The 22,488-nt window shown below is 36.6% G+C and overlaps 1 protein-coding gene and 1 long non-coding RNA gene across 7 annotated transcripts in view; one reads left to right on the top strand and one right to left on the bottom strand.

Annotated features, from left to right (window-relative positions):
- Window positions 1-22,488, bottom strand: part of HDAC9 (histone deacetylase 9) — a 915,592-nt gene that overhangs the window by 94,685 nt on the left and 798,419 nt on the right. The gene's annotated exons all lie outside the window — the stretch shown is intronic.
- On the top strand, window positions 5,740-21,853 carry HDAC9-AS1 (HDAC9 antisense RNA 1). The gene is made up of 3 exons (XR_927081.3): window positions 5,740-5,793; window positions 15,092-15,172; window positions 21,781-21,853. It is a non-coding gene; the product is annotated as an HDAC9 antisense RNA 1 (long non-coding RNA).

Here is a 22,488-nt window from a genome sequence, read left to right as displayed (position 1 = left end):
AGTTTGCCCTTTGGTGAGTTTTGTTTTCTTTCCAGAATTATCTGATTGTGCATTATTGGTGGTATGATACAGAGGATTATAGGTCCACCTTTGCCCAAGGAATTATCTAGCTATAGCTCCAAAGCCCTGTGGCCCTTCCCAGAAAGCCTGTGGTCCTTCCTTTGACCTTTTGGCAAATTTTGCTTGTCAAATAATATGACATCACAAAATCTGCAGGGAATTCTTACACTAGCAATAAGGCTCAACTAGGAATAAAGCTAGGTGATATAATCTTGACATGCATCATAGCATCTTATAATGTGCCCCTCTTTAAAAAGTCATTGTAAACAAAACTTCATCACTCGTGAATTAAGTAATTTAGAATTCCCATTCTAGCTCATCTAGTGACAAATGTGTTTAACAGTTGTTCTGGGCATTGTTCTATTTCACTTGGGAAATATTTTTCAAATCACAGAATTCCATTGATTTATGTGAGACTCTCCCTTCTCTTCTACATTGAGCTAAATTGTTTTCCATTCAAACAGAATTATAAAGAAAAAATACACCTTTCCATGCTCTGCATGGGACAACATCCTGCAGGATTGACTCCTACCCTCGAGATCATTTGGGTTTAATTGCAGGTGGTTTCCATAGTGCCTCCTTGTGGTTTCTATGCTTTTGGATGCACTTGCAGCTGGTTTCTTCTTTTCTTGTGAGGGTGCTCCCGATGTGAAAAGAGAGATCTTCCTTCCATCTTGTGTTTTCTCTTTCCCCAAGTATACTTCCAAACTGTTGTACCTCCAGCACAGGAGTTTCTGGAGAATCACAGGTTTAAATCAGGGCTTTCCAGGGCTTAAAAACCTTATGAAAAGTGCAGTGTACTCATGGCCATATCAGCTGTTATCACATTCCTTTTGTCAGTGGTCCTCGAAATTGATTGTGTGTGTATTGAATAAAGAACAGGTGGATTGTAATCTCTAGCTGTTAAGACAAGGAATCTGCATTTTAAACAAGACTGCTCAGGTTAGTTGAATCTATTTGTAGGAGGCCGTCAAACAAGGTCTTCAGAGTCACTGCTGTATATTTTCTGGAGCTGTGAAGGAGCAAATAAACTGGGCTTCCTTTGCCACTGTTGCATCCTGTAATCTCTTTACCATCATTTTCCCCACCATAGATCCTCTACAAACTCTATTTCATGCATTTGTAGCAGGGCAGAAAACTATATTATCTTAACAACTCAAAATGTTTCTTGGCAGAGGAACTATCTGTACTTAGAAAAAGACATTTATATCTGTATTTAGAAAAAGACATTTGGCAACATGGCTCACGTCTGTAATCCCAGCACTTTGGGAGGCCGAGGCAGGTGGATCACCTGAGGTAAGGAGTTTAAGACCAGCTTGCCCAACATGGTGAAACCCTGTCTCTACTAAAAATACAAAAATTAGCCAGGCATGGTGGCAAGTGCCTGTAATCCCAGCTACTTGGGAGGCTAAGGCAGGAGAATCACTTGAGCCTGGGAGGCGTCTAGGTTACAGTGAGTTGAGATTGTGCCACTACACTCCAGCCTGCCTGGGAGATAGAGTGAGACTCCATCTCAAGAAAAAAAATAACGTTAAAAAAAAAAGGAAAAAGACATTTGAAAGTGAAGAATTAGAAGCAGAGGTTATGGGTCAATGAGACAAAGCAAAAGGAGAGAAAAGAAAGGATAGAAAAGAGAGAGAGAAAGAAAGCAAAAAGAAAGAAAAAATAAAGAGAGAGAGAGAAGGAAGGAAGGAGAGAAGGAAGGAAGGAAGGAATGAAGGAAAGAAAGAGGAGAAAGAAAAGAAAGATGAGAAAGAAAAGAAAGAAAAGAAGGAAAAGAAAGGAAAGAAGGAAAAGAAAGGAAAGAAAGAAAGAAAGAAACTATTCAGCATTAGAAATAACTATAAAACTTGATGAGGGAGAAGGAAGAAGGAGTGCGAGTGCTAAGTAATATGTTAAGAGGTTGTAGTTTAAAATGCACAGATGGCTGAAATACTTCTAGAAATTGGAATGTTACATTTCTGTCTCATCTGCAATGGAAATCCCTTCCATTTCCCTGCATACAATAAATGCTTTCATACACAAAAACTTGCAGGTTTGTTTCTTCATGAAAACATTTTAAAAGGGTTTAATTTTACATTAGCATTGATATTATGCAATGTAAAAATGGCACTGTTGAGCTGTGGCAATAATCTTTAACATAAAGTTATTAAGAGGAAGCAGGCACACAGAGCTACAACATTCAAGAAACTATAAGTATCACACTATCCTCACCACCTCACTTGTACAATCTTAAGTAGAAAAATGGACTTTCAAAAATCTACGTGAAGAAGCTTTGAATTTAGCTTATCTAGCTTCTGAGGGACAACATTGTCTTAATGAACATCTACTCTGTATAAAATGCCTTATTAAACCTTCAAGTGCCTGCAGGCTGGTAAGAGATATATGGCAAGGCCACAGCTTACAACAGCAAAAAAAGAAGTGAGCAACAAGAGGGATTCTGACAGTGTCATGAGTGGTTAACAAGAAATGGGGAGGCTGGGCCGGGCGCAGTGGCTCACGCCTGTAATCCCAGCACTTTGGGAGGCCAAGGCGGGTGGATCACTTGAGGCGAAGAGTTTGAGACCAACCTGGCCAACATGGTCAGGTTGCTAAAAAACCAAAAATTAGCCTGGCATGGTGGCTCATGACCGTAGGCCCAGCTACTCAGGAGGCTAAAGCAGTAGAATCCCTTGAACCCTGGAGGCGGATGTTGTAGTGAGTGGACATCCCGCCACTGAACTCCAGCCTGGGCAATAGACCAAGACTTTGAGAAAAAACAAAACAAAACAAACTAGTTAAAAAAAAGAAAAGAAGTGGCCGGGCACGGCGGCTCATGCCTGTAATCCCAGCACTTTGGGAGGCCGAGGCGGGCGGATCACGAGGTCAGGAGATCGAGACCATCCTGGCTAACATGGTGAAACCTCGTCTCTACTAAAAATACAAAAAATTAGCCGGGCGTGGTGGCGGTTGCCTGTAGTCCCAGCTACTCGGAAGGCTGAGGCAGGAGAATGGCGTGAACCCGGGAGGCGGAGCTTGCAGTGAGCGGATCGCGTCACTGCACTTCAGCCTGGGAGACAGCGAGACTCCATCTAAAAAAAAAAAAAAAAAAAAAAAAAAGAAATGGGGAGGGTAGAGGGTTCCCCATTAACTTATGCTGAGGATCTAGCAAGTAGGAAACTCAGATGATAAATAAGCCAATGCAATATTTTATGGATCTAAATGTTTTATAACAAATTCATCCCTGTGACATATTTCCATATAGATTTTAACTTTTATGAGATTTGAGAGCACATCTTATGTCACACACACTTTATCATTACAGTGGCAACGCAGCACCCTGATCATCATAGATAATCTGTGAATTCTTTCACCTGGTAGCAGCATTTTTTTAAATCCTCCTTTTATAACATGGTTGGACTGGGAAGAAGAATGTATCTCTCATAATTATCTTCTACTTTTATTGTATGAATATGTAAAGCAGAAAACCTTACTATTTCAGTAAATTCATACTTGCCACTAAAGTAGAAAGTAAACTTTATCTACTTAAAAGAAATCGGGAAAATACATATTTTTAATCCAAGGAATGCTAAAGCTCGTACTTGTTCCAATTGTTGGGTGTTTGGGGAAGGACAGGAATTGTGTGTATTGTAATTATGACTATCGAAACTACAGACTTCCATCAGAATCTCTGTTCCCAATCGTAGCCAGCATTATTCTCATCCTAGATTTGTTGCCAGTTGTGTAAGGGTCATGTGGAGGTGAACAGAATATGAGGTATCTGGCTCCAATTCCATTTGGAACATTAAAGTGACTCCAGATTGATAAAATAGAGAGAGAGAACAGCATGCTTGACTACAAAGATCCTAAGCCAGAGTGAGCCAAATGGTACATTCTCGACTAACGGTGACTAACAATGAAAGAGAGAAGAGATCTTAGGAGTGGAATTGAAGCTTCATTTTATCAGGGCTTACTTTAGGATGTAGGTAGAATAAATGAGAATGTTTGTCAGAAAGATAGTGAGGAGTAAATGGGCGTAAATAGCTGACACAAAGATAAGAAAGCTGTCAACATTTTCTGCAAGGGTATGAAAATTCACCTTTTCAGGGTCACATGCTGGCTGCCAGTGAAACGATGGTAAAAAAGAGTTAAGGAAGCTAAAAACAGAAACTCTAGGGATGGCCTCAGAATGTGGAAGAGAGGAAATTCCACTGGATGTCTATTTGAAAGATTGACAAGAGGAAGGATATGTAATAAAGAAGTCAAAAAAGATGAAAATGGATTAAAACTTGAAAGGATTATTACCGATTCCCTGATTTTGGTCTAACACCATTGCTTAGGCGCCACACAAGTATTTTACGTAAACTATGAATAAAATGCAGTTGTCATCTATGTTTTACAAATGAGAAAACTGGGATTTAAAAAAATTAACAACTTGCCTAAAGTCATGTTATTGCTTAGAAGGGCCAAGTCAGGACCCAAATGCAGGTTTATTTAGTTCCACAGCCCTTGCTATAGTTAACCATCAGGCTGAAATTCCATCATTTCTCAAAGCACCTCCTTTCTCCTACTCTGATCAAACATGTATTCTCTGGCCTGAACATGTAAAATTGTTTTCAAATTGCTCATGCAAGAAAATTGCTGAATATATTTGTTCATATTCCCCTACATAACTGTGTATCATGCTTTATTATATCAGACTGACTAGCTCTGCACAATTGGTTTTGCTTACCCCTTAGCACAATGCCATATGTAAATAAATACTATTACTATAGATGATTATACTCATTAGAAAACACTCAAAGGAACGAGACTGCAGAGATTCCTGGAATCAGAAAATTTGTACATGTAAACTAGAGACATATTTCACTTATAAATAGTGTGAAATTTCTTTTTCCAAACTTTTCCATTCCTCAGATATTAAAATCAAAAGTGTTCCTTATTTGTTTATGTGCTAATTCAAATACGTAGCTAAATAATTATATTTTAGGAAATCCAACAAGATATCCTGAGGTAAGCATATTTTTATTTATTTCAGTGATGCAGTTCATTCAATCATTTCCCCCTGCCCTTGTCAATTGTTTCAGTTGCTCACAGGCAATTCTATTAGAAATAAAATATTGTTAGAGGGGGTTCTCAAAACTGCTTTATCTTCATTATATTGAAAATTCTATTCCAAACGAATCTTTGGGGAAATCTTTTTTACTCACATACTTTTCTTTCATAGTTTGGTTTCAAACACAGAGAGTTATTCCTGCCAAAGCCTCATTTTTCTCCTTCTTTTTTGGCTAAAAGCAATCTTCTGGAGCCTGTTCATTCCCCTACCCCTCCACAGATCTCACCATGATGACTCTCCTAAGGACACATTAGAGGGCTTTGCCCTAATCCATATTTTACTAAACAGCCCCAGGAGTGAGAAGAACCTTCACTAGGATTTGATTAAACAAATTCTTAAAGCCAATAAAACGTTTTCAAGTTGTAAGAGAAAGCAGCATTAGTGCATGTTCCCAAGCAGGGCAGACATTTCACTGTTGTCATCCTTAAGGAAGACAGTTTGGGATGCAGTACATTCTCCCTGAGACTCATTCCAGAGGCTTCAGCCTCCAGCAACAGTTGCCTGTGAGGGTAGCTTTATTGCATAGCACAATGCAGTTGTGACTGAAGCTGTTTCCAAACACTTTAGGGCAATTTCATGTGTAACTTTTCCTCTGCCACTTTACAGGGTTCCTGAAAGGGTAGAAGAAAATACAGTAGGTAAGGCCAGACAAAACTTGTGACTAAATTGAATCTGGCATAAAATAATAATATGACATACTCTTGGGACAAATAAAAAAGAAAGCTGCTTGTTAAATGCAGTAGATTAGAAATGTATATATGCAGATGTGAACATTTAAAAGATTAAAAATACTGGACTGATATATGGAAACAACTTTTATGATTAAATAAGATAAGTTATGAAAACAATCCTATTGGATGTTCAGGAAATGTTTAAAACGAACCAAGTGGGTTGAGATATAGTTGGTTCATGGCCATATTTATATGTGGTAAAATACCCATACTATACAATGAGGTTAAGTCTAGCAATTATGTGGTTAATTTGGTCACTCTCCATAATCATAGAGATTCATTTGTTGGGGGTGGGATCCCCTACAGGCATTGGATTCTCCCAGTTGACTGGTAATAATAACAAACAGGCTTACCAGAAACAAACAGTTGTAAAGTCTCCACTATATTACGTGTTCAATTGATGCAGTTGAAATATCAAACCTAGCTTTTCTTTTCCCTAATGTCAGCAATGCAGACAAATAACAGGCGTTTGGAAAAAAGAGGATTTTTTTTAACTCTGAGATATTTTAATTCTGTCCCAGCAGAGAGTCAAAGAATCACAGGAACAAAATATATTATTCATACAATTTTATATATATATATATGTATATGTATATATGTGTGTGTGTGTGTGTGTGTGTGTGTATATATATATATATGTATATATAGTATATATACAGAGAGAGAAAGAGAGTCTGATCTGTTGCAGTATTGGAGCCTTGGGAATAAAGTATCTTTTTGGGAATCTCTGTAGTATATTATTAGAAGATCATGATTAATGTCACAGGACTTAAGCAATCTTTGAAAAGAAGTCAAAATGTGCCACAAAAATTCACTTGATTGTGCCAGTGGGAATATTTCCTAACATAGTCCCAAACTTCAAAAACAGTATAAAGCATGCAAATGGAGTAAGGGGCGGGGTCCATCCATTTCTTCCCAAGTATATTTAATCTATTTAACAGAAAAATGTTGGGAAAGTTGTGGCTCTTATTAGCATGAGAAAAGGGCATCCAGTGGTATCTATACACTAGACTGTTCACATGTTGTTTTTCCCAGGGTAGGGGTGGTATTCGTACTTCTTATTGCTTTATGTCACCAGTCTGTAACCCAGATTGTAACTTTAAGATGTTATCTTCTGGCTGCTCAGATAAACAGCCCATTATGTTTTTATGGTGGGCAGTTCTGAATCCTCAGGGAATTAGAAGATATTGGCTAAAGTTTGTGGCTCCCTGCTAGACTATCAAGGGGTCCATGGGATCTTGTCCGGACTATGACTTTAAGCAAACACCTCTCTCATAATGGTATTCTCACACTGCCTTCTTGGCCATGGACTTCAAAAGCTGATTGCAGGGAGGGCCAGAAAGGCAATAACCCTTAATATAGCAGGACTAGCCTAGAGGGGACAGACAGGGCAAAGGTAAGGCGTCTCTGAGGTTGGCATTTGTGTGTTTAGCCACATGGGGTGATTAAGGGCCATCTGTTCTTCAGTGGGCTAAATCATCGTTTTCACAGCATCCCAGGATCAAGTACATTTCATGCTTAGAAAGCATGAAGAAGCACCCTAGAGTTTTCCCAGTCCTAATGAGACATATTTTAAATTTATTTATCTTTGATTTCTAAATAATGATAGTATGCATAGGTGCATTAGTGTGTGTGCACCTGTGTGCGCATGTATAGATTTGAGTTGTTTTTGTAGACTTGAAATTAAGAGTATCACAATTAAAGCAAAATTCTTGTATGTATTCATACATCTTTTGGACAGGGAAAAAAACCTCTGGAATGTTATGCTGATAGAAGTCTTTGTTTTGTTTTGAATATATCGTGTGACCAGTTCATTTTTTTTTAAATTAGAGAAACTCCTTGTTTGAAATCCATGTACAGAGAAATCTATCATCTTTCTGTGTGTGTATTATCAAGTCTTTCAAACAACACTTTATTTCAGAAAATGCACATTATCAATTTGTGAGAATAGAAATTTGAATTTTTCTGATAGTATTTCCACACTGAAGATAATTTTTTTATATTACAGGTCACAGATAGTATGAAGCTTGTTAAAAGTTAGATGTGATTAGTGTGGATATCCATCTTTATCCATACTACTAGGGCTATATAACCCTAGTTATATAACAAATTACACTGATAATTTGTTAAATAACAAATTACATTGAATAGTTCAAGGCTTATAGATTTTTAAAGACTGTATCATTAACTCACTGTATTCACATTATTTATAAGGTAAGCTAACCACCATGTCTTCCAAAGAAATAATTAATATACTATTAATTTTAACTGGACTAAACCAAATGATTAAAATCTGTAGATTCTGAATCTATAAAATTTTTGAAGTACGATCTATTTAATTGTTACATAGTTGAAACTTACTATTGGCAATCGACAGTCTTCCATCATGTCAACATCTTTAACATGATCTAGCCTAGGTTGTCAGATTCTTCATCAATCTCAGAAAAGATAATAAAAAAGAAGACATCAAGTTCATGTTTGGCTATAGGGAGAGCAAGTAACTTTCAGGGAAAAAAAAAATTATACCAGTACATCAGGTGAGTAAACTCAGTCCTACTAATTACTAGTTACCACATAGGAGCTCACTTCAAATCTAAGCACTACAAGAAAAGTGTCCTCTATTGACAAGACACCCAAACAGCATTTTTATTAATAGGGACGACAGTCTAGCTGTCATCCAAAAGTTATGTTTTCAATCAGCCAAACCATAGCAAATATATCCTAACATTAAAACATGTTTTTTCATTAATAACAGTTTGCTTAGTGGAGATTCCAAAACCTAAGCCATACTTTGGAAACTTTCCCTATGCAATAACTTCCTAACTCAGCAATCTTCATACTTTTTGGTAGCATAAGCGTAACAGAATTTGAAAAACTATATACCTTCTTTCGTCTTTTAAGGGGATGTCTAATATTTTTATGAGTTAGTATTTCTTAAAGGATATACTTTTAAGCATATTGTGTAAGTGATTTAAAAACATTTCCTCAAAATATTGGACCTCTGGATTTAGCTGATTCAATTTATGGAAAATGTCCACTATGCAATCAGATAGACAATACCAGTCTTCCTTGTCACACCAATCAACTAAATCAGACTCACTTATAAAAAAAAAGTCTTATCCTTTTTTTCCATTCAAATGTTGTAAATGTGAATTCCAACATAAGCAGACTGATGATCAATGGATAGATAAGTAAGTAGATATATATACAGTAAACACCCTTTCTCTGAGTACATACCCTTTCTCTGAGTTTGTAACTTAGATAAAATGAGATACTGCCTCTCTCAATATTTCTTTATAAAACTCACAGTATTTTGTGGTCAAAGGAAACGCCTTCAGAAATAATATGTTCTCTTAATTACTCTCCTTCACATACCTCAAACACTATTAACATGAGGCCACTCATTATTTTTCTGAAAATATAACATGCTTTTAGAATTTTTAAAATATTTATGTAAAAAATTTTTAGCTATTTGTTCCATTTGGCTGTGTACCACTCATCTTTTTATGCCATATACAAGTTACCTTGTCAGTGAGGTCTTTACTCAACCAGGTAATCTGATGTACTTCTTCATCTATGTTCCCATAGAATATTATTTTACAAATATATTGTCATAATTGTGTATGTGTCTGTCTTAATAGACTATGAATGCTTCCCCAATGTTAAAAACTCAATAAATGTTTTAAAACAAAACAAATAAATCAATGAATGATTCAATCATTAAGAAATAATTCCACCAAGAAATGTCTAAAATGGTGCTTTACAAGGTCAGTTGCCATGTATGACTTTATGGTCCAGAGGAGATGATTAAAGAAATGTGTGAAATATATTTTACTATTCATGCATATACAAAAATGTATTTGTTCCTGAAGAGATTGACTTATAGGGAACATTTTAAAAGTGACAGTAAAAAACTGTGTCTAGAAAGATCACACATGGACACGATATTTAAAAGCATTGGATCCATGCATGGTTCCCTGGTGGCAAAGACCCTTAGCTGAAATGGAGGGATTTTTTTTTTTTTTTTTAAGTAACCATATTTTAAAAGAGCAATTAGATAGAGAAAACATAACATTTGTTTTATAACCACTTTTAAAACTTCATTATACTCATTCTACACATATAATGAGTAGCAAATAAAATCTTTAAGTAGACTCCAATTCTTAAAATATTATGTAGAGAATTATAGCCCATTATTCACCCTTTTAGGTTGCCAAATCAAGCAGTTTAGCAAGATCTTCTCCAGTAAAACATGGTTGAATTGATATGACCTACAAATATGATTATTAGATATTCTGCAGAAAAAGGTAGCAGAGCAAACAGGAAGGATCAGAAACCTCCGCATAGCATTCTTTAAACAATTTTTAGTAAATTGTAACACTGCATTTTAGGAGTCACATTATTTTTATTTATTATCTTATAGCTATATTCTAAGAAAACAAAGGAAAAAGTTATAAAGTCCTAGAGTTTTGACAAATCATAAATTCTTCCAAGTCTTTGTTTAGATTTTCGAGAATTATTCAATAAGCGATCATTTGAAAGGCTTTATTACCTTTTCTTCAAAAGTCATCTTTAAATCAGATGTACACATTTCTTAACCACACTCTGTTACAAATAATTATGTAGAAAAATGTCAGTAAAGCTATTTCTGAAAAATTCAGTCAGACCAGATTTTTTCAGCCATTATTTTCCCCAAATTTAATTAAATTTTTTTTCTATTTTTAAAATTTATTATATTCAGGAAATTCAAGGAAGATATAGGTTGTGGTTTTAAACTAGAAAAAATGAGCATATGCATACTCTAGACTTAATGAATACATATTGCTAAATCCTTTACAATGTCATTGTATGCAGAAGTAGTTCAAAACACCTTATTTTTCTGTGTTCATGTTTATGGTCTCAGGAATTGAGAATGAATTTTCCTCAGTGGAAAATTTAGAGTTTATTTACCTTCACTATTTCTCCATAGATACCCATTGTAGTAAAAGTTTCAACAGTGGAATTTGCAGTGTGAAGGAATTGGGTCTGAGACAATGTTCTTGCTAGTTCTCTAACAAGCCAGGTCCACAGGAGTGGCGTGTGACCCGATGTCACTATCTTTAACAAAATGGCTTTTGCACAAAAAGAAAGACCTTTATACCTAAAAATAAAATCTTATAACACATTGTTAAAATTATTTAGTCTGGCATGGAGTTTTATTAAGCTTTGTGTTATTCATGAGGGACAAAGAAGATCATGCCCAAGAATGAAAAAGAAAACACTTAATGGGGTCTGGGCAGTTTTAACAGCATAAGTGAAATACAACACCAAACAGGATGTCTCTCTTCCTTTGAACTTGAGGCATTCCATAGACCCTAAGCTACTGAATTCTCTGGTTAGTTATGTGGTGCCAGACATTCAGTGGCACTTAATGAAGATAAGTTTCTACCTTGTGCTTTTAAAGGTAATGGTGAATGAATCCTGCCTGACCAAATTGAGTGTTTCTTAAAAGTTACTGTAAAGTTGGAAAAAATATACATATTTTTCTTGGCTCTTAAAGTGATTAGTCTCTTTTCTATGTTTTTATGATCAAATGCTAATAAATCTTCAAATTAGTAAGCAGAAATATTTCTATATTTTTATCTTAAGCATAAATATAAATATTTGTCCATTTTTGAAACATAAATAAGACTCTAATGGAAAATAAAATTTACATTTAAACGTCAACAGATCATATTTCATAAAATAGTTTCTTCCTTCATAAATAACACTTGGAATTTAATGTACATTAGGAAAAGTATCTTCTTGATGTTTCCCTTCGGCATTAATGAAAACTGCAGCTGCTCCTTTTTGAGATTTTCTTGATTATCCAAATAAACAAATGTTTTCTTTATGCTTGTATAGTCAAGGAATACAAAATCCACACCTAAGAAACTGCTACCTCTCCCTTTTGGAAATATGTCCATTTAAAAAGTGGTTAATCATGATTAAATAATGACTTATTGTTACTAAGCTGCATTTCAAGTCTCTAAACAGGAAACTCTTGGAAATTGAGTATAACAAGAAGCTTAAAGCCTCAGATCAAATGCGAACTCCAACTGTCTAACCTTACAAGAGAATAGACAGCCAAAGAGAGCTGTTCGATGCTAAGGGAAACATGCTGCCCTGCTGTTTTTTATTTTTAAATCTCAGCATTAACTGAAAGTATCAAGTCAAAACTTTCTTCTTTCATAAAAAGATAACACTCATATTCAAAGGAGGAGTACACTCACCTAATAAGAATTTAAAGTGACTCACTTCATGAGCTGATCTTTAGAATAGGATTTAGTGACTCACTTTTGTAATCATGCTCTCGTCCTTTTGATTAACAAAAATCAGAACTCTTTCATACTATCAATTCCAAGCATCCTCCTCTCTTATTATCACCTTCTAGCTTTTCAATTTACTCTCTTTACTGCCACACTGCAGTATTTCTAGGATCTACAATCCATTGATCCTACCAATTTTTCATTTCTCTTATAATCTACATTGTCTCACTTTCCTTTTAAACCAGTTTAAAATCCTTAGTACATCAGATAATCACTTGTCTCTTTTACTCTAACTCAATCCTGGTTACATCCAGCTCTCTGCCTAGCGGGGCCTGAGCCCTATCGAATATGGCTGGTGAAATGGTATTGTTATTTGACATAGTTATTCTGACTGGTCTCACTTTAAAGTTATATGTGAAATTTACATGGGCTCATAAGTTGTTCTAAGCTATTTTCCGCTAGTAGATCCCCTTTTTCACTCCTGTAGATAATTATGCCATACCTTCTCTCATGTTTTCAAGCCTCCAAAATGTTCTTGCCCATTCGAATTCTCAGTGATTACCTTTGTTCCTGTTTCACTGAGAAAAAAGTCAGAAGCACACTTCATATATCTCCCACCATTACACCCATCACCTGCCAGCATCTGGACCCACATACTCTGCTTTTTCAACTGCTCCTGTGGATAAATTCTCCTGTATCTAAGCCCAAGCCTTCTACCTGTGTCCTAGAACTCAATTCTTTCACAAATTCAAGAACATTTGTATAGCAATTCTCTCTTCTTTTTACAGCAGCATCAATTTTCCCTCTCTACTAGAAGATGACCAGCATCACATAAATATGCTGTCATTTTATTAAGATTATTTTTTCAAGTACTCATCAGACCCTTTCCTCCCTCTACCTACTGCTCCATTGATCTCTTCCCCGTTAGAATAAAATTCCTCAAGAGCAGCAGTCTATATGTGCAGTCTACAATTTCTCTCCTCCAATTTCTCCTCTAATCAGGCTTTTAACTCATCAAACTCCTTATCTTGTCTAGGTCAGAAGTGGCCTGCATGTTACTGAATCTAGTGGTCAGTTTTTATCTTACTTGACCCTTTAAGGACATTTGATAGAGCTAATGGCTTGTGCTCCTCTTTGAACGGCTTGCCTCCATTGGGCTACAGGACAGCACACTCTGCCAGTGAAAATCAATCAGGCTTCATATGGCTCCCCCTCATGGCTCCAATGTCATAATGTTAGAGTGTCCCAAGCAACAGTCTTTGCATCTCTTTTCTACCTACACTTGTTCCCTAGGTGATCTCATCTGGGCTTACGGCTTTAAATAGCGTCTATATGCTGATAACAACTAAATTTAACTCTCAGCTTAAACCTTTTTCCACATCTTTCCCCATTTCAGTTCAGAGCCACTCATTCCTCTCTGGTGCCCAGACCCAAAACCCTGAAGTCATCCTTTACTCCATTCCCACCTTCTGATCTTCTCTCATACCCAATCCAGCCTGCCAGCAAATCCAGTTCACTCACCTTTAAAATAAATCAAACTATGACTACTTTTCCCCACTTCTATCACCCTTTTCTCTTGAACATCTCATACTTGCCTTCTTCTTCCTTTGGCACTGTGGGCTTGGTCCTGCCTCAGGGCTATTGCCCTTTCTGTTCCCCATGCCTACAATGTTCCTCCCTATGATAGTTTCACAGCTTGCTCCTTTATCACCTTCAGCTCTTCAGGCAAACATCATTTATAAGTGAGGCCATTTCTGATCACCCTTTTAAAAATCACAAACCTCCCTTGTCCCAGCAAAATCTGACCCTTTCCCTGCGTTCATTTTATTCATGAACTCCTAATGTACTCTATGTTTGCTTACTTATTTTGCTTAGGCTTTAACCACTAGACAATGCTCCCCAAAAGAACTTTCAGTGACGATGCAAATGTTCTATATCTGCAATGTCCATTGTGGAAGCTGCTAGCTGTGAATGGCTATTGGGCAGTTGAAATACATAGTTTCATTAAGTTAAATTTAAATAACCATATGGCCAGGGAGTACCATTTTAGACAGCACAGTTTAAATATAAGCCACATGCAAACAGGGAGTTTTGACTTCTTCAGACTGATGTAGCTCCAGCACTAGATGCCTGATGTATACCTGTGAATTGAATTAGTCACTTTCTTTTCTTTCTGGTTTTATTTCTCTGGTTGAATATTGCCCCAGGCCATGGTATTTGGTTGATAAGGAGAGCGAAGGTTATGTTATGTTCCTTCACGCTGCTGCCCCTTGTGTAAAGCACAAACTACACAACTACAGGTTGTGACCCTGAGTAACTTGGTTTTGCAGATCTCCCTGTAGCTTACGGTTTACAGCTTTCTCTCTGCTTTTTGACACTACTGTCACCATCAATATGAAAAGAACGTTAGGGGTACAGTGAGAGAGCTCTAGATATGAAGGTGTTTGCATGTCTGTTCTTCTCACTGCTGTAATGACAAAAGCACTTAGGGTTCTTTTCTTTTCTTTTTTTTTTTTTTTTTTTTTCGGCCTATTACCTACTTGAAACACTGTATAAGCTCTCAACACAGCTGCAGAAGGAAGGCCAAATATGAGAAGCAACAAGTAACAACCTGGGAGGAAAAAAAAATGATCTGACATAAACTTAAGTTCCTTAAACTCAGTATTAATTAATGCTAGAATATAAATCACATCTCTCTATCAAGAAAGAAGTTTCATCAGTCTTACATGGGGTAGATTTAATTGCATTTTATGTCTGGGACAAAAACAAATATACCTTCCTGAGCCTTCAGAATTTATTTCTGGGCAATAATTCTCCTTTTCCCACTTTGTATTGCTTCTTAAAAATTATCCTTTAATAAAGCATCATAAGAGAATAGATACACGAGGAACCAAATTTACCTCTTTCCGTCTTTGCAGGGCAGGGCTCAAGACCTTACAGTGGAAGAGTTATGCTCTCCATAAACAATATGACCTTCCAGGAGAGAAGAAAGAATAGCGGTAAGGACAGAGAGGGAGAGAGACTGCCTCTCTTTGTTTTGAAGGTCAATTTCTGATATAAATGTAGACAGAAAGTATATTCCACTAGCTCTGATGCCAGACCACCTGTGAATTCCATCTCTAGCTCTTTCATAAATTTGACCCTTTCTTATCTTTTTTATGCTTTAGTTTCTTCATCTATAAAATGAGGATCATGTTGATATTGTTTATCTTATAGCATTGTTATAAAGATTAAGTAGTAAATGCAATGTGCTTACTATTGATTATAAACACGTTTTAAATGTTCGTAGCTCTTGATATTCTAGATAGAGAATTTTAAACCATTGTATGAGTTGGTCCAAATACTTCATTTTCCAGATGACGACTGAAGACATCAATTCTTCAAATAGATACTTCGTGTCTGTAGAACGCAGGTCTCCTATTTCCTAGTTTGTGTTTCTTCCAATAAACTCCTTGAAAGCTCACTATTTCCCCTCATTCTTTTTCATTCTTTTCTTGATTGTTACATGGGAGTAAATGAAGTAATCAGAGCTTGGAAATAAGTGGTAATTGTGCCTTTGGTTGCAAGTAAAAAATTACTTATTTTACTCTCCAAGATTTATTTTTTATTTTTATTTTTTACCTACATGGGTGTCATCAAATAGATAAGCTGGATCTAATCAAATAGATCACCCCCAGAGGGAATGAATCCATTCATACAAAGACCTGCCAGGCTGTTTGACACTAGTATCTCTGTCCTATGTGTCCTATGTGGAAGGTGGGTCTAGGGCTGCCCTTAAATAGATGTGAATAGTGTAGACTTTTCAGGTTCCAAGTTGATGAAACTTCCAAACCTTTGGTGATCTATTGGGATTGAAAGTTGATTACAACTTTCCCATTGCTAAATATCTGAACACCACCTCAAGTCAGTCACACAAGGAGCTAGGGCCCCAAGCACCCTGGAAAGACTAAGAAGCCAGACTTGCCACCATCCTTAGGCTATTACTTTGGCCTGGTACTTACTAGCTCTTAAGCCTGGTACTCAATGATTTACTGTTCAAGTGCCTGCAGTGGTTCTTCCTAATTGCTGATCTCATTTTGCACCCAAGTGCCAAATAGTCCCCTGGAGACTACTGAGTAAAACAACAGGAAAAGTTCTAATAACCATCAGGATCCTTAGTAAAATGCAGCTCTTAAAGTAGAGGACCTTCCTGGAACCATCCCAAGTAGCCTGACACTCCTGTTTTCTTTAGGCACTTCATGTGCTTGTCAGTTACTGAAATTAACTACATTTCATAAATGATTCCCTCTGCTGGCTACTTGGGCGACAAAGTGGTTTTAGGGACTCACTTTATTTACATGATTACCCTAAGGCAGGAAGGAAATATTGTGCATAAGGAAAGTGCTGTGGGGAGAAATCTTTGACTAAAGAGTAACAACATCTGAGAAAACTGTTTATAGTAGATCCAGAAAAGTGCAAACAAATGAACAGAGCTGGCAGCTCATTCTGAATCTGAGATAAGCAATTCTAAATGAGACAGCTGGATTTTATATAGCGCACAAATACGTGCTATGAAACCCAGATCAGACAGACTCGCCAAAATATCCTAGACTGCTGGAGGTCAGTACAGGTCAGCTAAATAAATTAAATCCTGAGTACACTACCTTGGTCTAATTGCCTGGTCTCTCTGGGCTTACCTTTGTCTTTTCATCACTAGCTCCACCTATCCTTTCATCTATTTTCTACTTTCGCTTAAAGTTTATATTACGGTGCCATCAAAGATAAGTTTCTATGTTACAGCCCCAAAGTAAATATTAATACTTCTATGTTACACTGTAGTGAATTTCCTTTTTAGTTTAAAAAATCTGCTTTTCAAAAGGTAATCGACCACAATGGATGTGGTATAATTCCAATCATCAACAGAAACGTTCCCTCTGTTTCATTCTTTGTATTTATCTTGAGCAGCATAAACTCTTCTTTCCCACATATGAAAATCTTTGAAATGTTTATGGAAATGCTTACTAAATGAAGAAGTTTGCTAAATGTCCCAAATATTATTAAACCTGTACTATTTACGTGTGCTTGGCTATCAAAACTGACTCCTTGTTACATAGATGTCTGGGAGAGTCATCCTATGGGCAGATCTCCAAAACTCTCCAAAACAAATCTCCAAAACTCTATGACTCGTGTATTGTAGACTTTTGGTGGTTGCTCATTACAGCAGTTTTCATCTGTTAGGTGGTTTGAAGCATTTAAAAGTCAGATAGTTATATGCTGTTATCAAAACACAGATCTAGAACTGTTCAACTGTCATGCATTAAGAGTTGCTATGCAGGCATTAAAGATGTTATAATCCAGAGCTCTTTTGAGGCACATGGACATGATAAGACTATCTAATATTGGCTAACATTTGTTGAGTGCTTGCTAAATGTCAGGCTTTAGGCTGAGATGTTTAAATGAGTTTCTGTATTTACTCTTCATAAATCTATGAGATATAGTCCTATTTGCATATGAGGAAATTAAGGCCCACTAAAAGGGAAAGTAAGTTGCCCAAGGTCACGCAATTAGAAAAGTGGCAGTGGCCAGTGGCGGTGGCTCACGCCTGTAATCCCAACACTTTGGAAGGCTAAGAGGCTCACTTGAGCACAGGAGTTCAAGACCAGCCTGGGCAACATAACAAGATCCTACCTCTACAAAAAATTTTTTACAGGAAAATGAGTTGGGCATGGTATCACAGGCCGGTAGTGCTAGCTATGTAGAAGGCTGAGGTGGGAGGATCACTTGAGCCCAGGAGCTAAAGGCTGCAATGAACCATAATTGCACCACTGCACTTCAGCCTGGGTGACAGAGCAAGACACTATCTCAACGACAAAACAAAGAAGAAAAGTGGCAGACCCATGTGTTGGTCCTATAAAGGTGTATATACTGTGGAGCCTGCTTTTTGAACCACTGCCAAGTACTGGTCTGGCAGGCTGATCATTGTTTCCTTTTCTTTTTTTTATAGCAACAAGCACAATACAACATGGATGCTTATTATGAAAATATCTTGAATAAACACCCATGCAGCAAACTTTTCAAGTAAAAGAAAAAATAAAGAGATTGACTTTAAATATATTTTTAAATAGATCATTTTTTTTTAAATCACTCCATACATGAAAGTCAATAAATATTTCTGGAGCCTAGACAATAGCTGAGGTGATATTTTAGCCCCTGGGGACACATAGTAGTTAACAACACACAGTAACGTCAAAGAAGTGATAGAGCATGATGGAGGATGGGTACACTGGTCAGGAAAATTGACCTGAGAAGGTGATATCTGAGCTGAGAAGATAACCAGGTTATCACTAAAGAAGAGATCCTTTGAATAGGATCTTTTCATGCAAAGACCCTGATGTGAGCCTGGTCTGTTAGAGAGACAGAAAGATTTTCCAGGCTGCAGAATAGTGAAAAAAGGGTTGGCAGAGGAGCATAGAGTAGGGTAGAGAGTACATAGACATCACGTGTGGTAAGAGGTGTACATTATTGTAGTTGCAGGAAAAGAATATAAAGCAGAGGAATGATACGCCACAGATAGTCAATTGTTTGGTAAAATAATTTCTGAAATAGGTAATTTCTGTAGCTTATAGACAAATTTCACCAAGGCAGAGAAAAGAGGAAAACAGCATGGAATAAAGACCTTATCTATAGACTCTATTGTTATATATGACTAGACAAAGTCGTTCCTGAAAAAGGGTTGAACATTACACAAGCATGCAGCAATCAAAGCCAGTATTTACAAAATTCATATTTATAACCCTAGGCATTTCTTTTTCACTTCTATCATTAAAATAAATATGTATTTTACACAGGTGGCTCATTTAGACTAAAAAGTTACATTAACCATGTAAAGAGATGATAGGAGGAGAGAAATAATAGTTTTAATCTGGCTAGATCCACACAATTTCTCATGGAAGAAGCTGATACTAAGATCTGGGGATAGTGTTAAGGTGGGAGGTCGATAGGATATAGACACTTGTAAGACAAGTTTTGCATTTTAAAAACAACTTGGAGGAAAATTAATACATCTCTATTATGTCACTTTTCCTATTGTTTATTGAAAACGTATCAAATCCTGAGAGCCAGTGAAAGCTCATTTCTTATTTTATTTTATTTTTTGAGACGGAGTCTCGCTCTGTCGCCCAGGCTGGAGTGCAGTGACACGCTCTCGGCTCACTGCAAGCTCCGCCTCCCGGGTTCACGCCATTTTCCTGCCTCAGCCTCCCGAGTAGCTGGGACTACAGGCGCCCGCCACCACGCCTGGCTAATTTTATTTTTTTATTTTTAGTAGAGACGGGGTTTCACCGTGTTAGCCAGGATGGTCTCGATCTCCTCACCTCGTGATCCGCCTGCCTCGGCCTCCCAAAGTGCTGGGATTACAGGCGGGAGCCACCGCACCCGGCCCAGTGAAAGCTCATTTCTATAGAGCTCTTTCTATTAATACTGACAGATCAGGAAGAATTTATGGCGCTTTACCAAGTAACAGTTAGGTGACTTGGGATAAGATAAATGAGGGAGTTCATAAAAGTTACTCTTGGTCTGAAACTACGTGGGAGAAATATTGGGTAAAGGTGGCTAAATTTCTATCATTCTGAGGAATTCTAAGAGCTGTTGGCATGAGAACCACTGCAACTCCTGATGACTTCTCTGTGGCCACAAATCTTGGCGTTGCATGGGACAAGTCTAGAGGTTCAGTTGGAAAGGGATTAGGTAGAGGAAGAAAATATATGTGGAATCCTAGCCACTTCCTATAAAAACCAACAAAAATAACTAAATATTTCAAATGTTTTTAGAAATATAAAATAATTATGTTAAACATTTAAAAATAACTAAATAGCTTAGTATTAATTTTCACATAAGATTCCAAATGTATTTTGACATATGAATTCTGACCCCAGCTTATATGTGTGAAAACAATAGTAGATTTCGTGGGGATGATATCATTTATACGTTATTATATGTAGAGTGTCACATTTTGCAAAGCATTTTATTTAGGTCCATTACCTCATTTGATTCTCATAATGGCCCTATATTTAGCCAAAGCACACGTGATTTGTACTATTTCTGTTAGGAATAAAAAGAACATCAAGACACAAAAAAAGAAGTTAGTTGGTAGCCAATTAGACCCAAACTGCAGATCAACCGATTCCAAATCCTGTTTCCTTTTTTTCAATCACTAGCCCAGTGGTTCTCAAAGCCTGGTCCCTAGATCAGGAGTATCAGCATCACCTGAGAGCTTGTTGGAAATGCCAATTGCAGTACCCTCTCCAGACCTACTAAGTCAGAAATTCTGGAAGCGGAACCCAGCATGCCTAACAGGGCCTCCAGGTGATACTGATGCTTGTTAATTTGGAAACCTCTGTAGTAGTCCATAGTGACTCTCCAGCCCATGACAGTAGTGTGAGGAGAACTTCCTATAGAGGGAAGCTGCACGTCCATTCCCCAAGATTTCCTTGATTACTTCATCAGCCACACACGTATTAATAGCTGATTCTTGGTCACATACTATTCCATACACTTAACACTGCTGGCACCAGGCCATGACATTACTTAACAAAGGATTTGACCAACTGATTCTTTTCCGTATTGATTTGATTTGTAAGATGAATCATAAGCCAATTATTTTACTTATAGCAATCATCATAATAAAGGGTCAAAATCTACGGTTATGGAGATGTCAGGCCAAGGAAGAACCATTTTTTGTCTGAGCTCAAAGCAAACTCACAGTAAGAGAATCAACTATTATTTAAAATTTGTCCCTGGCAATATTTTTTGTTCATTTTGTTATTTTAATTTTTGCTTCTTTGGGATTCTATTCAGTCACTGGAAGTCTGTAAAGAAAATATAAAATAGAAATCTAAGCTATTAGATTAGGAAGGCCATTGGCTGGGATTTTACAAACATCTCAAAGAGTAAAATATTATTTTCCATTGAATCTAAGATGCCATCAATTGTGGCACAAAATAAATGTAACCATTATTTTATATACCACTATGAAAATTAAAAAAACAGCCTCAATCTCATGATGAAACACCATCAAGTGTGAGAGACATTCCAATTTCAGATATGTCAAAATATGAAAAAGTATATCTTAGTATTAATGGAATACAGTACACATTAGCTGCAGTTGGCATCTTCCTCTGGGGCAAACTCTGCTTACATATTTTCTTTTCATAAGCAATGTTGAAATGGCCTGTTATGGTACAGTTATAGTAACTGTGTTCTTCAAAGTTAAGCAGCAGTCATCCTAGCCTAAGGATTGTTTCATGACATCAGTAACTAAACAGTGCAGGTGGAAAATATTCTTCTACAATTTGGTATCTGAGTTATCATGTGGTATGAGGAAATAGGCAATTGAGCAAGGAAGTGAATGCAGAGTAAGAGCGAACATGGAGCACTCATTCACTTGAATAAATCTTTTGATTGTAATTTAAAAATAAAATCATTCTCAAATTTGTGTTTTTATATCCTGACAGGTTTGCCTTCTTAATCAGCCATGTTGCTTTTTTTGTTAGCTGTTAAATATATATGAGTGAACTCTATTACATGCAATCATAAATGTCTTGCATATTCCCTTCCTCTGTCCTTGCAGGAAGCCATGTACTTGCTTGAGAATATAACAAAGAGACATACTGGTTTGCAGGAATTTTGAGTCAAAGAGTAAGTCCTTGATTCGTTCTTGTGAAAAATGCTCCATGAGAAATAGGAAACATGGTCTGTAAACTGCTATTATATTATAAAGCTTACTTTTCTGACCTGGAAAATTTTATTTACACAAAAAAGTCATTGTTGGAAAAATTTTCTTTTCGAAAAATATTTTCACAATTCAGAGAAGCTTCTATAGTAATTAAAAAGTGCGTACATATTTATTTGAGATATTTTTAATAACCCATTAAACCTAGTGAAAATAAATGAAGGCGGAAGTCTAGAGACATGAGATCTGGTTGTGGTTTTGTTAGTCTTCATCTCTGTGACTTAAGCATAGTTACTTAATTTTTCTGTTACTTTTAAAATTAGAAATATAAACGGTTGTAAAATTTTGTAATGGTTTCAGAGGGATGAGAACATCTTAAAAAATGATATTAATACAAAAAATACACAAAGGTACTATGTATATATTATCTCATTTAATCATAAAAACAAAATAAGATAGTGCAGAGAAGCATTGAGGCATAGTGCCTAGTGCATGGAAAACGTTCAACATCACTGGCAGGTATTATAATTCTATCATCAATAACAACAACACAGCCAGGATGAAATTAATGTTCCCTTTTCAGTCAAGAATATAATCTTCAAGAGG

This window comes from Homo sapiens, chromosome 7 (genome assembly GCF_000001405.40).
Source record: "Homo sapiens chromosome 7, GRCh38.p14 Primary Assembly".
Taxonomy (NCBI): domain Eukaryota; kingdom Metazoa; phylum Chordata; class Mammalia; order Primates; family Hominidae; genus Homo; species Homo sapiens.
This window is presented reverse-complemented; position numbering and strand designations above follow the sequence as displayed.